This window comes from Homo sapiens, chromosome 7, assembly GCF_000001405.40.
Source record: "Homo sapiens chromosome 7, GRCh38.p14 Primary Assembly".
Taxonomy (NCBI): Eukaryota; Metazoa; Chordata; class Mammalia; order Primates; family Hominidae; genus Homo; species Homo sapiens.
In genome coordinates this window covers 123745057-123757674 of record NC_000007.14, presented here as the reverse complement: position 1 = coordinate 123757674, position 12618 = coordinate 123745057, and the positions used below count along the sequence as shown (strand labels likewise).

General features: G+C 39.5%; 1 protein-coding gene and 1 long non-coding RNA gene across 2 annotated transcripts in view, besides 4 other annotated features; one reads left to right on the top strand and one right to left on the bottom strand.

Annotated features, from left to right (window-relative positions):
* Positions 1-6693: 6693 nt before the first annotated feature.
* On the bottom strand, positions 6694-8480 carry WASL-DT (WASL divergent transcript). Its single transcript, NR_170281.1, has one exon. It is a non-coding gene; the product is annotated as a WASL divergent transcript (long non-coding RNA).
* Positions 8288-8942: an enhancer, noted in NCBI's record as "H3K27ac hESC enhancer chr7:123388787-123389441 (GRCh37/hg19 assembly coordinates)". NCBI's record gives its function as "activates a minimal SCP1, AML or CMV promoter by ChIP-STARR-seq in primed H9 embryonic stem cells {active_cell/tissue: H9 hESC(primed)}" and the evidence as "EXISTENCE:reporter gene assay evidence [ECO:0000049][PMID:30033119]".
* Positions 8390-8709: a silencer, noted in NCBI's record as "silent region_18588". NCBI's record gives its function as "represses an Ori minimal core promoter by ATAC-STARR-seq in GM12878 lymphoblastoid cells {active_cell/tissue: GM12878}" and the evidence as "EXISTENCE:reporter gene assay evidence [ECO:0000049][PMID:35858748]".
* WASL (WASP like actin nucleation promoting factor) overlaps positions 8672-12618 on the top strand; it is a 67061-nt gene continuing 63114 nt past the window's right edge. Inside the window, exon 1 of the mRNA NM_003941.4 lies at positions 8672-9057. Within this exon, the coding sequence (NP_003932.3) occupies positions 8941-9057 (117 nt within the window). The 5' untranslated portion in view covers positions 8672-8940. The remainder of the gene's footprint in view (positions 9058-12618) is intronic.
* Positions 9170-9259: a silencer, noted in NCBI's record as "silent region_18587". NCBI's record gives its function as "represses an Ori minimal core promoter by ATAC-STARR-seq in GM12878 lymphoblastoid cells {active_cell/tissue: GM12878}" and the evidence as "EXISTENCE:reporter gene assay evidence [ECO:0000049][PMID:35858748]".
* Positions 9702-9751: an enhancer, noted in NCBI's record as "active region_26570". NCBI's record gives its function as "activates an Ori minimal core promoter by ATAC-STARR-seq in GM12878 lymphoblastoid cells {active_cell/tissue: GM12878}" and the evidence as "EXISTENCE:reporter gene assay evidence [ECO:0000049][PMID:35858748]".

The window sequence follows — 12618 nt, the reverse complement described above, 5'->3', positions numbered from 1 at the left end:
TTTCTGGGGGTCCGTTATTCTGAGGCATGCAGAAATATGTGCTTCAAAATGAAGGACATGTTGCTATTCCTTTCGTGCCTTTCCAGCAAGAACAAGGCTTGGTGGGCCTTTCTGGATGATAATGACAAGAAGGCACAGTTGAGTGCCTTGTTTCAATCACACTGTCCAATGATCACAATGCTGCTATCTCTCAATGGAACTGAGAGCAAAAGAAGACTCTCTAGTAAGTTCAGGCTGAGGTGAGGTAGTGTGTGAATTGTCCCTTATGACACAATAAATCCAAGGGTGCTTGGAGATCCTGAGGAAGATTGGGGTGTTGTATGGACTTGCATTAAAACAGGAAATTGAGACAGGGGAACACGTTTTCCTTCTGTGTGTCAGAACATTATAATGTGCATGCATATAGATACCATCATTATGTGGGAACTGAGTCAACATACCAAGTCAGCCCTGATGCTTGTTATAGCTTTCCTCTTTCATCAGTTCAAAGCTCCAGTCCAACAGAACATATAATAAACACACAATAGCTTCAGTATGAAGAGGATCAAGATGAAAGAAAAGTGCCAATATTCTATCTTCCTAAAAGGAAATTTGAATGTGAGAAAGCGAATATGTAATTTAATTTTTAAACTGATTCTAAGTAAAGATATTGAGAGGAATGACTCCCTAAACTAGGAATGAGGAACTTATTCTAATGTGACCATCGACTCTAAGTTGTTTGCATGTTCAATGTGTTTCCTTCTCTATTAAAAAACAAAACAAAAAAATCAATGAATACTACTAACTTCCAGCCACAGGGAACTGAGAATCATGACTGATGTAACAACTATCAAGTACCATGCAATCCAGTTTTGAATATAAATGGCAAATATTAGATCAATAATTCCATGAAACCACAGTCACCAATTACCCTTCCTTCCTGCTCTGAGGTAACTAAAAGCAGGATTTTTATGTTCTGGGGATTGTATTCTTTACCAATCCCTCTTTCAATAGAGTAGGCTTATGATAAGGCTTATATATTCATTTTCATACCACCAAAAAAGGATTTGTAATAGTGAAAAAGCCATGAAATTGTTTATATTCCCTTATGCACTGCCTTTTACCCATTGCTTTTTAAAATGCAGGATTTTTTTAAAATCCAAAATACATGGGATTGATTATATAATTTTGAGCTGAGAAGGACCTTAGCAATCATTAAGTCATTCCTTTCATTTTACAAATGAGTAAAGAGAAGCATGATGAAGTTGAGTGATTTTAGTAAGATTTCATGGCTAGTTACTATCGGAACTCAGATCAGAAAAGCTATAGCTAATAAATACCTGCTTGCCCTTACAGCTATTTTGCCAGGTGTGAACAATGAAGACATTCCACCTACAGACTCTATCCTATCTAGGTCTTAAACTGACAAGAATAAATCCCAGTGGTTCATTACAAGTTCCGTCCCCTCAAAAGAATATGATTCAAACATAGTTTGTGTAATGCCATAAGCCTTATATGCTTGGGAAAGGGTGGAAGGTGGCTGGTGGGGGTGGTAAATTTCATCCCCTGGAGGTCGTCTTGAAGGTCTACTTATTGGAATCACCAGGAGGGCTTCTTAAAACATAGACTGATGAGTCCTATCCCCAGAGTTTCAGGTTCAGTGGGTCAAGAGTGGGGCCTGAGAATGTGCATTTCTAACATGTGATGCTAATGCTGCTATGAGAACTGCTGGCCAGTCTCCCCCAGTCCATTGGGATGCCAGCCTATTTTTTGTCCTGGTTATTTTCACTTTAGTTTCCAACGCTCCTGGATACTAAGCTTGCTTCCATATGCTTCCAGAGTTGCTTTCTAAGACCAAGTGAAGCCTTGACTTAGTGTTTTTGCAATCACTTCATGCTAAAAACTATTATTCCCCCAAATCCCTAAAATATGACACACATTTCTTTTCTCAGACTAGGCCCCTGGACACCTGAGCTCACTCAGGAGGAAAAAAAAAAAATCACTTTATCCTCTGGACTTGAATTAGGTTGCTGGGTCATCTCAAGTGGAGGTCATTCCTTTCTATTGCTGTTGTCACAAGCCCTGCTCCTGCTACCATTAGGTTGTGTGCAGTTTCTTATGTATTGTGTTTTCTCTCCAGGTGCTCTCAGAATACCACATGCTTAGTACTGTGTGGAAGAGTTTGGGCAAGACTGTGGTTTCTCTTTATTTGATCTCAGATCCTGTGTAACTATCTTTGTACCTGATAAAAATTCATATGTTTTTATTTGAATCAAAGGTGGTCATTTGATCTACAAATATACGTTGAATAATGTATAGGTTCAATGTTAAGACTAAAAAGATACAAAGATGAATAAGACATGATACCAGCTCTTAGAGAGCTTTGAGGCTAATGTAGGAGACAAACATTTAAAAAGTAATTACAATTTACAAATGAAAAGCCTGCATATCACTGACTTTGACAATTTATTATATCAAAATGACTTACTTCAATTTGCTTTAATGAATCAGCTAAATAGCTATTTATAGATAAATGATATCAACGTGTATGAACATATAGTACTAACCCATTCAACCATTACCAACTTTCTAAGGACAAGTAACCTAGTTAATGTGGGGGAAAAACACAGTTCTTATTAAAGACTTTGTATGGAGGCAAAAATAAATAAAGACTATTTACTTCCTAGATACAGAGTTTTACAATTTTATTATGTATGTAATATGCATGTAATTCAGTACACAAAAATGCTATCATCTTGATAAAATTGGAAAGCATTAATATTTCATATTATTGCTTTTTCTTAACAAAGACCCTCTCCCCAGTCATCAAACATCCTGAAGTTCCAACTGTCCCCAGTTGAATTCACTAGCTGCTGAGTACCTTTTGAATACTTTTTCTGTGTTCATGGAATTTCTGACCTTATGAATCCGCAGACCCTTAACAACGAGCCTGAAATCTCCAGCTCTTTTGCAGCTAGGGTACAGGTATGTGACCTTTCCCTCATCAGACACACCCATGGGCAACTGTGATTTGAAAACACATAAAGTGAAGAAGCATGTGGCAAAGGGCAGCAAGGATGGCAGCAGAAACACCCTGCTTTTAGAATCTCAGAAGAGATTCTAGTTTCCAATTCCCAATGTTAGCAGTAAATCTATAGTATCTCTGCCCAGAGATGACCACACTGAAGGGCTCACTGGAGTAGTTCCACAGTGAAACTTGGGTGTGCTTTCTAATTGTATAGAATGAGTCAGAAAATCTGACATTTGACCAACAGGCATTCCAGAAAGCGAAAAGAGAAAAAAGGGGAAGAAAAATATGAAAATAACAAAAGAAAAATTTCCAGCACTAAAAGACATGAGTTTTTGGATAAAAAGGGCCTTTGGAATACCCAGTACAATAAATGTAAAAGTATTCCACTATGGTACATCATCAACTTTCAGAATTCCATAAACAAACAGAATTCTGAAAACTTTTAGAGGTCATAAAGACTTATATACAAAAGATCAGAATCAGAATAACTTCAGATTTCAACAGCAATGTTGAAAGTTCGAAATCAATAAAATAACACCTTCAAATACTGAAGAAAACTGGTATTCAACCTGAAATTTTCTACCCTGTTAAACTAATCAACCAAGAGTGAGATTAGAATAAAACTATCAGCTATGCAAGGTCTCAAAATTTTACTATCTATGCACTTTTTCTTAGGAAGCCACTAAAGGATATACACTATCAAAACAAGGGAGTACATCAAGATGGATGACATAGGTTCCAAGAAACAGAGGGTCTAATACAGAAAGATAAAGGGAAATCCCAGGATAGTAACTCAATAAAATTCCAGACAATAGCCATGTAGCAACAGTACAGATTAATATGGGATGATGGATGGCTTTGGGAGACAGGTCTTTGATTAAAATTAGTGAGTCTAATAGATTCCTGATACACTTGATTATGTGGAAAATAATATGAGGAAGGACTTTATAGTTCTTAATATAGAAGAAATAAAAGAAATAAAATTTAAGCAAATTATTGAGGGGGGTAAAATCCAACAAAGTTAAAGTGGTCCAAGAATGTAACTTCTGTTTTATGCTGTTTTAAGTTTTGTACTACTATTTGATTTTTTAAATTATGTGCATTTATCATTTGTATAAAAATAAAAATTGATTTTAAAAATGTTACATGGTAGCAGAGACCATATCCTTGACCCCAATAATTTCAATGTGGTAATGGGGACATGTGGCATCTTCAAATTTTCCCAAGTATCCAGCCTGCCTACTCATTTATAATGTAGATTGACCTTGAGAACATTACAATAAAGAAATCAATGTTGTTCTCTCTCATTTGGAATAATAATAAGCCATTGAATATTCATTAAAGTTAAAGAGCAGCCAGAAAACCATAAGCAGCATCCTGGGAACTATAACATACTTAGCTCTTCAAATCATTTCTTGATTACAGGTAAGTACTAGGTATTTGGAGACTAGGACATATAATGGTAGTAACTATCACTGGTAATTTTGTAGCATGAATAAGTGTTCAATTTTCCACTAACTTCAATAAGAAATCAGAATGATTTGTAAATAAACTATTTATTCCTAAAAAAGAAAGCCCCAAAGAGGTTTGTAGTTAAAATGAATTTAAAAAGGAGAGGCAGAAAAAAAATGGTGTGCTAGCTTACTTTTCAGAATTTAGTTGATGAAAAAGAAAACAATTAACATTTAACTTGGGATAACATGTACTAGAATAAATTCTTGTAAGCATTGCCATATGCAACATTTACATAAAAATGTGCAGATATTTTACAAGACGAACATTTTAGACACATGACATTTCTGGAGGTTGCATGGGAGAAGTAGCACTCATTGCCCCTGCACTTTTTCTGCAAATCCAGATTTGCAGTATTCAGATTTGCTGTTGTTCTGTCTCTATAAAATCAGTTCTGCCATAGCCAAGCAGCAATTATGGCTACAATGGCTGCTGAATGCCGTGTGCTTTCAGCCACCTTTATATTCCCCCACAGTAAAGGGTGTCACTACATTTTAAATTATTAACATTAGCAAGGGGAATAGGGTGTTTCAGAGGACTTTTAACAGTACATAAACAATGACATTTGTAAAGAAGAAAAATATATAACAAAGAACCGTAACAAGAGAAGCTTGCAAAGTACCCATAAGGATAACAGCAGGAATGTATCTGAAAATATGCTCTCATTTCCATAATAAGCTACCCTAATGTTTTCTGTTAAAATGAGGGCTTTACCTTAAAAGATCATACCAAAGAAAGAAGAAAATGAAGTACTAGAATAGATGCTAGTTGAGGTAAGGAGAGTCAAATGGAAGAAATTAAATGTAAGAATTGCCTTTTTTTTGTTATATTCATATACACCGTAATAAAGCTTTTTTTCACAGCCCTCTCCCACTACTCTTTCCTGTCTTCAAAATAGGTTGGTGGTCTACAAGCTCTGAAAGCTGGTATTTCTAGCATATGCATTTTATATGTATATTAAGATAAAACCCCTAGTCTTCTTAACAGCGCTTACAAACTTCAAGATACTCTGTTGAAGGGAAACAGAATGCTTATGTCCTGGATAAAATCCAATCTCTCAAACTGGGTAAAAAAATTTGAGATAAGGAAATAACTTGCCAAAGAAAACAGAGAGAAAAGATGTCTTGTGTTCTGCCAAACAGAGGATATGCTATCAAGAATGAAAGAAAGGACTTGCTAAAACTTTTGAAACAAAAACAGCCAGTACTGCTTGGTCTCAGGATGAGTATGGAAAAATAGAATCCTTTATGTATGGTAAGGAGGGAATCCCCAAATATTGCTTGTTCACAGGCTTAAATGAGTAAGGAAGTCATATTTCCAGTGAAATGTTCATGCTTACATTTTCCACATCAAGAGTTGGAAAAAGCCCAGAGAAAAACAAAAATAACAATGGAGGGTAGAAGACAAGAACTTAAATTGCAATTTTGTGGACAAAGGACTATACTAAAAATTTGGAGAAAAATTAAAGAAAGGTTGGACCTGAGGAAAAAAGTCTACTGTGGTCATCATTTTCCATCTCCAAGTCTAAAGAAAACAGAAAAAGGGCAAATAGTAAAAAGAAAATTGCATTTAGATAAGTCATAAAATTTCCTGAAAGAAAAGAAAATCAAAACAATAGATAGTCTAGGCTAGTAAGAGGTTGTGAAATGATTGGAACTCAATAATTCTCAGAATGAGATAAATTCTTGAACGCAGCTACTGTCCATTCACCTATCATCTCATGGCCTTTTTTTTTTTTTTCACAGCCCTCTCCCACTACTCTTTCCTGTCTTCAAAATAGTTTGGTGGTCTACAAGTTCTAAAAGCTGGTATTTCTAACATAAAATTTGCTAATCTTTCAGTTTTTATTAAATTAGAAGCTAATAGGATTCTATCTCTGGATTTACAGTTTTAAAAAGTTTTATTTTGGCATACTGGGATATATGTAGCCTATTTGATATAATATATGGCCTAATCAGAAATTCTGCTATCAAGTTCTTCACTATATTTTTGAAAAAATATGTACAATTGTATATTTGAAGGACAGTTTTTGAAGAGTCAGAATTAGAACAAAGGTAAGAATACATATATTAAGTCTTGATCCCTTAGCTCAGGGAAAGCAGAAAAGACCATAGGCAAGGACTGTCAATGGCCGACAACTAATACTTGAGTAACCACTATGTATCAGGTACTTTACATGTGATACCTTTTTTTAATGTCTTATAATTTTAGTTTAAAAAAATTTTAATACACAATAACTGTACATATTTATGGGGGTACATAGTGATGTTGCAATACATATAACATATAGTGATTAGGGTAATTAGCATATCTATCATCTCAAAAACTTATGTCTTTGTTTTGGGAACATGCAATATCCTTCTTCTAGCTATTTGAAACTATACAATATTGTTAACTATAGTCATCCTACAGTGCTACAGAACACTAGAACTTATACCTCCTATCTAGTTGTAATTGTGTATTTTACAACTTTGAAGTAGGTGTAATTATCCCTATTTAGACTATACCTGTATGAAACAGAAATTATTTTCATTTTACAGATGAGGAAACAGACGCAGAGAAGTAATTTGTCCAAAGTCCATAGGGTTGTAAGACTCATAACAAGAACTACAACTTGGGCCTATCTGAATCTTATACTTCTGGTACTATACTTGTTCACAGGTTTGAAAAGAGCTTTAATTTCTATTATTTCTCAAGAATTTGTAATGCTTTCTCTTGTCACTGTGCTTTCAACTTAGAGGAGTTGCAGTTTTGATAAAAGACAAACTGATTTAGCTTCTAGGTTTGTTAAATATGTAATTCAGAGGCAACTCCAGGCTTATATTTCTACGACTGCTTTCTAAATCTAATTATTTTATAAATAGTCCTGTTGCTTTAATTCACTTTTTACCCTAACATAATTAATCAAGTTTAACTTTGAAATCTCCATATTTTATGTGAGAACTCCCAAGGCTATCCACTTTTATTTTCCTTTGTAAATTTATTGTTGCTCAGCCTATTTCATTAATGGCAGCTTTAATTATAATATTTTATTATATTTTCAAAGTGCATGATAATGGTTTACCAGTCTGGTTAGTACATCAGAGATTTCTATTGGGAGCTATCAGAGATGTTAACATCCAACAATTTTACCAAAGTGTAATTGTTATAGACGTCTTAACATGAATTTACGCAACAAAAATATGTTTAATGTGGAGAACAGTGAGATGCATATTTGATAATTCACTGCAGTCTGCATCATCATCTCTATATTCCAAAATTTCGTCTTAAGCCGTTTAGTATTTAACTTACAGAAGAAAGGGGGTTATCTTAGATAACTTTTAATATCCTAAGGTATTTTCCAATTCACGATACAGGGAGAAAAGAAATGTGTCCAGGCCCTTAGAAGAAAATACTTTGAATTTAAATGTGACACATACATTAAACCCGCGTGACACGCCAGGCAGGCGGTGGAAGTCAAGTGCATTTGTTTTTGTTTCATCCACCAGGGCGATCTCTTTCACAATTCTGGGAGAGGCCTGTTTGTTCCTCCACTCCCACAGCTGAAGTTTGGGACAAAGTTTGAGAAAATCCCAGGCACCTGCGGCTCCTATCGAAGCCGGCGAGGAGCACAGGGTAGAGCGTCTCTTCCCAGTTTTCAGTCTTCAGATCGCAGGCCTCTCGGACCCGCAGAGCGAGCTTCACGCTGCAGCGCTTGAGAAATAAGAGCTATTCCAAGGAGGGGCCCTGGGTCCTCACTGACGCTTCGCAAAGGTGTACGTCCGCCCAGGGAAGGCCGGCGGCGCAGCGACGGCGAGGAGTCCCCATCCATCTTCTCTTCAAGCAGCAGTAGCTGGGTTCGGGTACCCAACCGACGAGCCGAGACGCCAGAGGCCAGAGTACGAAGTTGGAAGCCTGCGCCCCAAGCCAACCGGGATTCCACTTAGCTCCGCGCGGTCCGCGCCTCGGCCGGAAGGGGGCGTGGCTTCGGGCCCGCGCCGCGAGGCCCGCCGCCGAGTGGGGGGGTTTCTCCCGGGCCGCAGCCGCGCGTTTCCGGCGCGCTCCCCCGCGCCCTCCGTCCTGTGGTCTCGCCCGCCCCCGCTGCCATGTTGGATTGTGCGGCCGCCGCCGCCGCTGCGGGAGGGTTGGGGGAGGAGTTGGGAGTTTAGCGCAGTCGCCGGAGTGCGAGGACAACGACCATCCGGCCCTAGCCTGGCCGGGCGGGTGCCGGGAGCTTCCCTTTCTCAGCGCGGCGCGAAGGTGGCTCGCCGTCAGCGCCTGCTTCCCTCGACCTCGTCCTCCTCCCCGCTCCGGAGGAGCTGCGAGATGTGGCGCCTCTGACTCCACTTCTCCCCGCCCCTGTCACCGAGAGGGGGAACGAGCTCTCGCCCACTCGCCGGAGGAGACGGCCCTGGACTCCCAACCCCGCCGGCGAAACCATGAGCTCCGTCCAGCAGCAGCCGCCGCCGCCGCGGAGGGTCACCAACGTGGGGTCCCTGTTGCTCACCCCGCAGGAGAACGAGTCCCTCTTCACTTTCCTCGGCAAGAAATGTGTGGTCAGTGGACGAGACCCGCGTCGCCACCCGTGACATTACCTCACGGGCCCGGGCTTGGGGGCCGGGAAGTGGGAGTGGGGAAGGAGGCGGGAGCGGCGCGGGCCAGGCCTCCCGCCAGCCCCGGCCCCGGCCCCGGCCCCTCGTCGGCGCCCTCGCCCTGCTCCCAGGGTGCGGGCCGTGGCGGTCGGGCGCCGCCTTCCCGAGCTGCTGGAGAATAAGGGAGTGTCACCTCCGCAGGCCTGTCCTCCAGCCTGGCCGGGCCTCGGCCCGCGCCCTTGCTGCTGGTTAAAACTTTATTCTCAGGCCACAAGGGGATTTTCTTGCAAGAGCCGCTTGGTCCTAGAATCTGGGCCCTTGTTCTAGCTCTCGCTTCACCTCTTACTGCTTGATCTGGGGGTACGTTCCTTAACAATGCCAGGTTTGAGGAGTGGATAGGTCGGGGAAGGAAGGTGGTTTTTAATCTCCCATTAGGATTCCAGGAGGGAATGAAGTCGAGTGCAAGAGCCTGGGCTCTCTTCGGATTAGAGAGGGTGCAAGAAATGTTATTGCTCTTCGTTAAAGAGAAACAAGATTTATTTCTCTAGCAACCTTGCCTAGGCCTGGTTTCTACTCTCCTTCCCACTGATTTTTTTTTTCCCCCCATTGGTGGGAGGGGGTGCTGCTCTCCCCGCAGCCATGCGCAGGGAAACCTCAATCTCTGGTAGCTCTTGGCTTTTGGGGCCGAGAATGATTCTTAGTTTGGTGCTGTGCGGCCAATTCCAACCCCAGATGGCCGGTTGGGAGCGAGCAGTTCTGCTGTGGGAAGGGGAATGTGTGTTGTTGACGGAAGCATTCATTACATTGGCTGCTGGCAATTCTGGGGGTGGGGAGGTTCTGCTCTGTGGTGTAGGCCTTGTCGGGATCATACTGCGGTGACTGGGTTGAAGTGTGGTTTGTTGAAATACTGGCTGGATCCCTTTCTCTCCACTTTGCTAGCACCTGCAGAGTATGTGCCACTGGAACCCAGAAAACACGGAAATTTCAACAAAGCAATACCATTTTATAACTCCTTTAAGTAATATTAGGTATGCCAAACCAGATTTCACCTGCTTCTTTAAGAAGTTAGGATTAGACAATTTCTGGAAAGTTATTGGATTCATTGTTAACTTCATAGGAGTCCACCCTTTGTATCTTGTGCCATCCGGTTGGAGATTGAATCGTTCCATTCAATTTCAGATGTGTTTCATATTTCGGAATTTAGACCTTAGAGAACATTGAGTTTCCTGATTAGAAGGATGAAACAAGAGGAGTGGCTCAAAACGAGAATTTTGGGTAACAACTTTAAGCCCCTCCCCATTCACACACACTTTTTTCAACAAATGAGAAAACTGATCCAGTGAGCCCAAGTCATACAGCAATTTAATAATGTAACCAGAACTAGAAAACCAGGACTCCTCACACCTAGTCCTATCCCATTGTACTTTGCACTACATCATGTTGTTTTAGAAGGGTATTTTTTTTTCCTGTTACTGATTTATTTCTAAAAGTGGTGTTAAAGAAATAACCACTTTGCCTTTTTCACCAAAAACTAATTAAAATACAAGATTCTTAAAGCACCACTAATGTTTGCATATGCTCAGTTTAGGAAAATCTTCAGCACTTTGAATGTTAGTTACCTCCAATGAAAAAAATTCAGTTGCTGGTTTAGTAGATTAGCTATGTAACCTGTATCAAAAAGGAAGTAGTTGTGCTGTGTTCTACATACCAGACACATTAACTTTAGGCAGAAAGGACATTACATTTATACACAAGTATACTAATTGTTCTGTGCTTACCTGTAGTTTTACTGGTTTCGAAAAATGGCAGATGGGGAAAAATACTGTGATAGAGAAAAATGATGTTGCACATTGGTTAGTGTAAGTGGATTGCTGAATAGGCTCTCAGTATTCAGTGCTTAATTTCTTTATGCCATCTTTTATTAATCAACTGTACCTTTTGAATTTGTCATTTAAAAACCACACTTTCAGTTGTCTGCTTTTGTGGGATGAAGTCGTTGCAAATACTAATTTCAATATTTGAAGTCCCTAGTTAATAGAGAGTGAAGTAAGAGTGATATTTTAATTTTTGAAATAATCTTTTCCTCCCTTGGCTGATTATTCAGGTTGTTTTTGTCCTTTAAAACATTACTGAAATATATTGTCTCATAATAAATCCAGCAGTAAGATTTACAGGTCAGACCAAATGTGTTAGGCAGAAGTATACTCAGTACTCAGAGCTCTACCTAAGAATTCAAGAAATGAAACAGAAGCAGTTATAGTCGAAGCTCTGGAGGAGCTTCATTTCTTCTTTCATTCAACAAACATGTATTGAATAAATGTTGAGGTCAAAATCTGGAAGGGCTGATACTTGTCCTCAGGGAGCTTACTAGGTCTAAAAAGGGAAACGTGTAAACTGATAAGTCAGTGCTTCAGAGTGATGTGTAAGAGGCTGCTTTTCACAGTAGAAAATGCCTTGGCTTTGTAACAGCAAATGTGGGTTCAAACTGGGGGTCACTTTGGACAAGTTTCTTGAGCTTCCTATCCTAGATTTGGTTTTCTCATCTGTAAAACAAGGATACTATCTCATGGGGTAGTTGTGTGGATTAAGACTGTGTATAAATATATGGAAACTATTTTTATAAAGGTTTAGGGGATTAAAGGAGAGAATGGTGGGAGAGAGGATGATTAAAAGCTTTTTAAAATGGATAACTGATTATTTATATTTAAACAGGTACTCCCTAGGCTGATGAGAGGTATGAAACAGCTTGAAAAGTTAGGAGACCTACTAATAAGTTTGTTAGGTTTGTTAGGGAGCAAGGAGGGCTTCTGCTTGGGCTCTCAGATTTAGGTATGAATTGGAATCATTGTGGAGATTATGAGAAATGCATATGCCTAGGCCCAATTCCTAGATATTACTCAGAATCACTGGATCTGAGGTGAAGCTTGGACATGTCTATTTTTAGCAAGCTTGACAGAAAATTCTAAAGTATATCACAGTTTGAAAACCACTGCTAAAGTCCACGTTGTCTGATAGGATAATCCTTGAGCACATTGGAAATCTTAATAGATTTTTCTTCAATTTTTGGTCTATATTTTGCAAATTGAAGCTAAATTAAGTTAAACCAAATTCTTTTAGTACAGCATTTCTCTCACCGCTGAAGATACCAGTGTACATTTCACAACTAAGAAGGAGATACAGTTGGGGAAGTATTGCACTATTTAATGGGGACTCACAAGATCATATTTGACTTAGAAAATTTTCAGGGGAAAGGTGGAGGCAGTATAGAAGGTGGATTGAGGATTGTGAGGGAAAGACAAGGGAAATCAGATAGTTGATTTATAGTATTGCAGGTGAAATATGATGAGGGCCTGAATTAAGAGAGTACTTTGGGAATTCAAGAACAATTAAAGTCTCCAGCAGAAATTAGTCCCAGTTATATATAGAAGGTGAGGGAAGGGAGTTTCAATAAAGGCAGGCATTATAACCACCAGCAGAAAAAGTACACAGAAACATATTTTTATTCTCATTCGCTGCAAATATGCC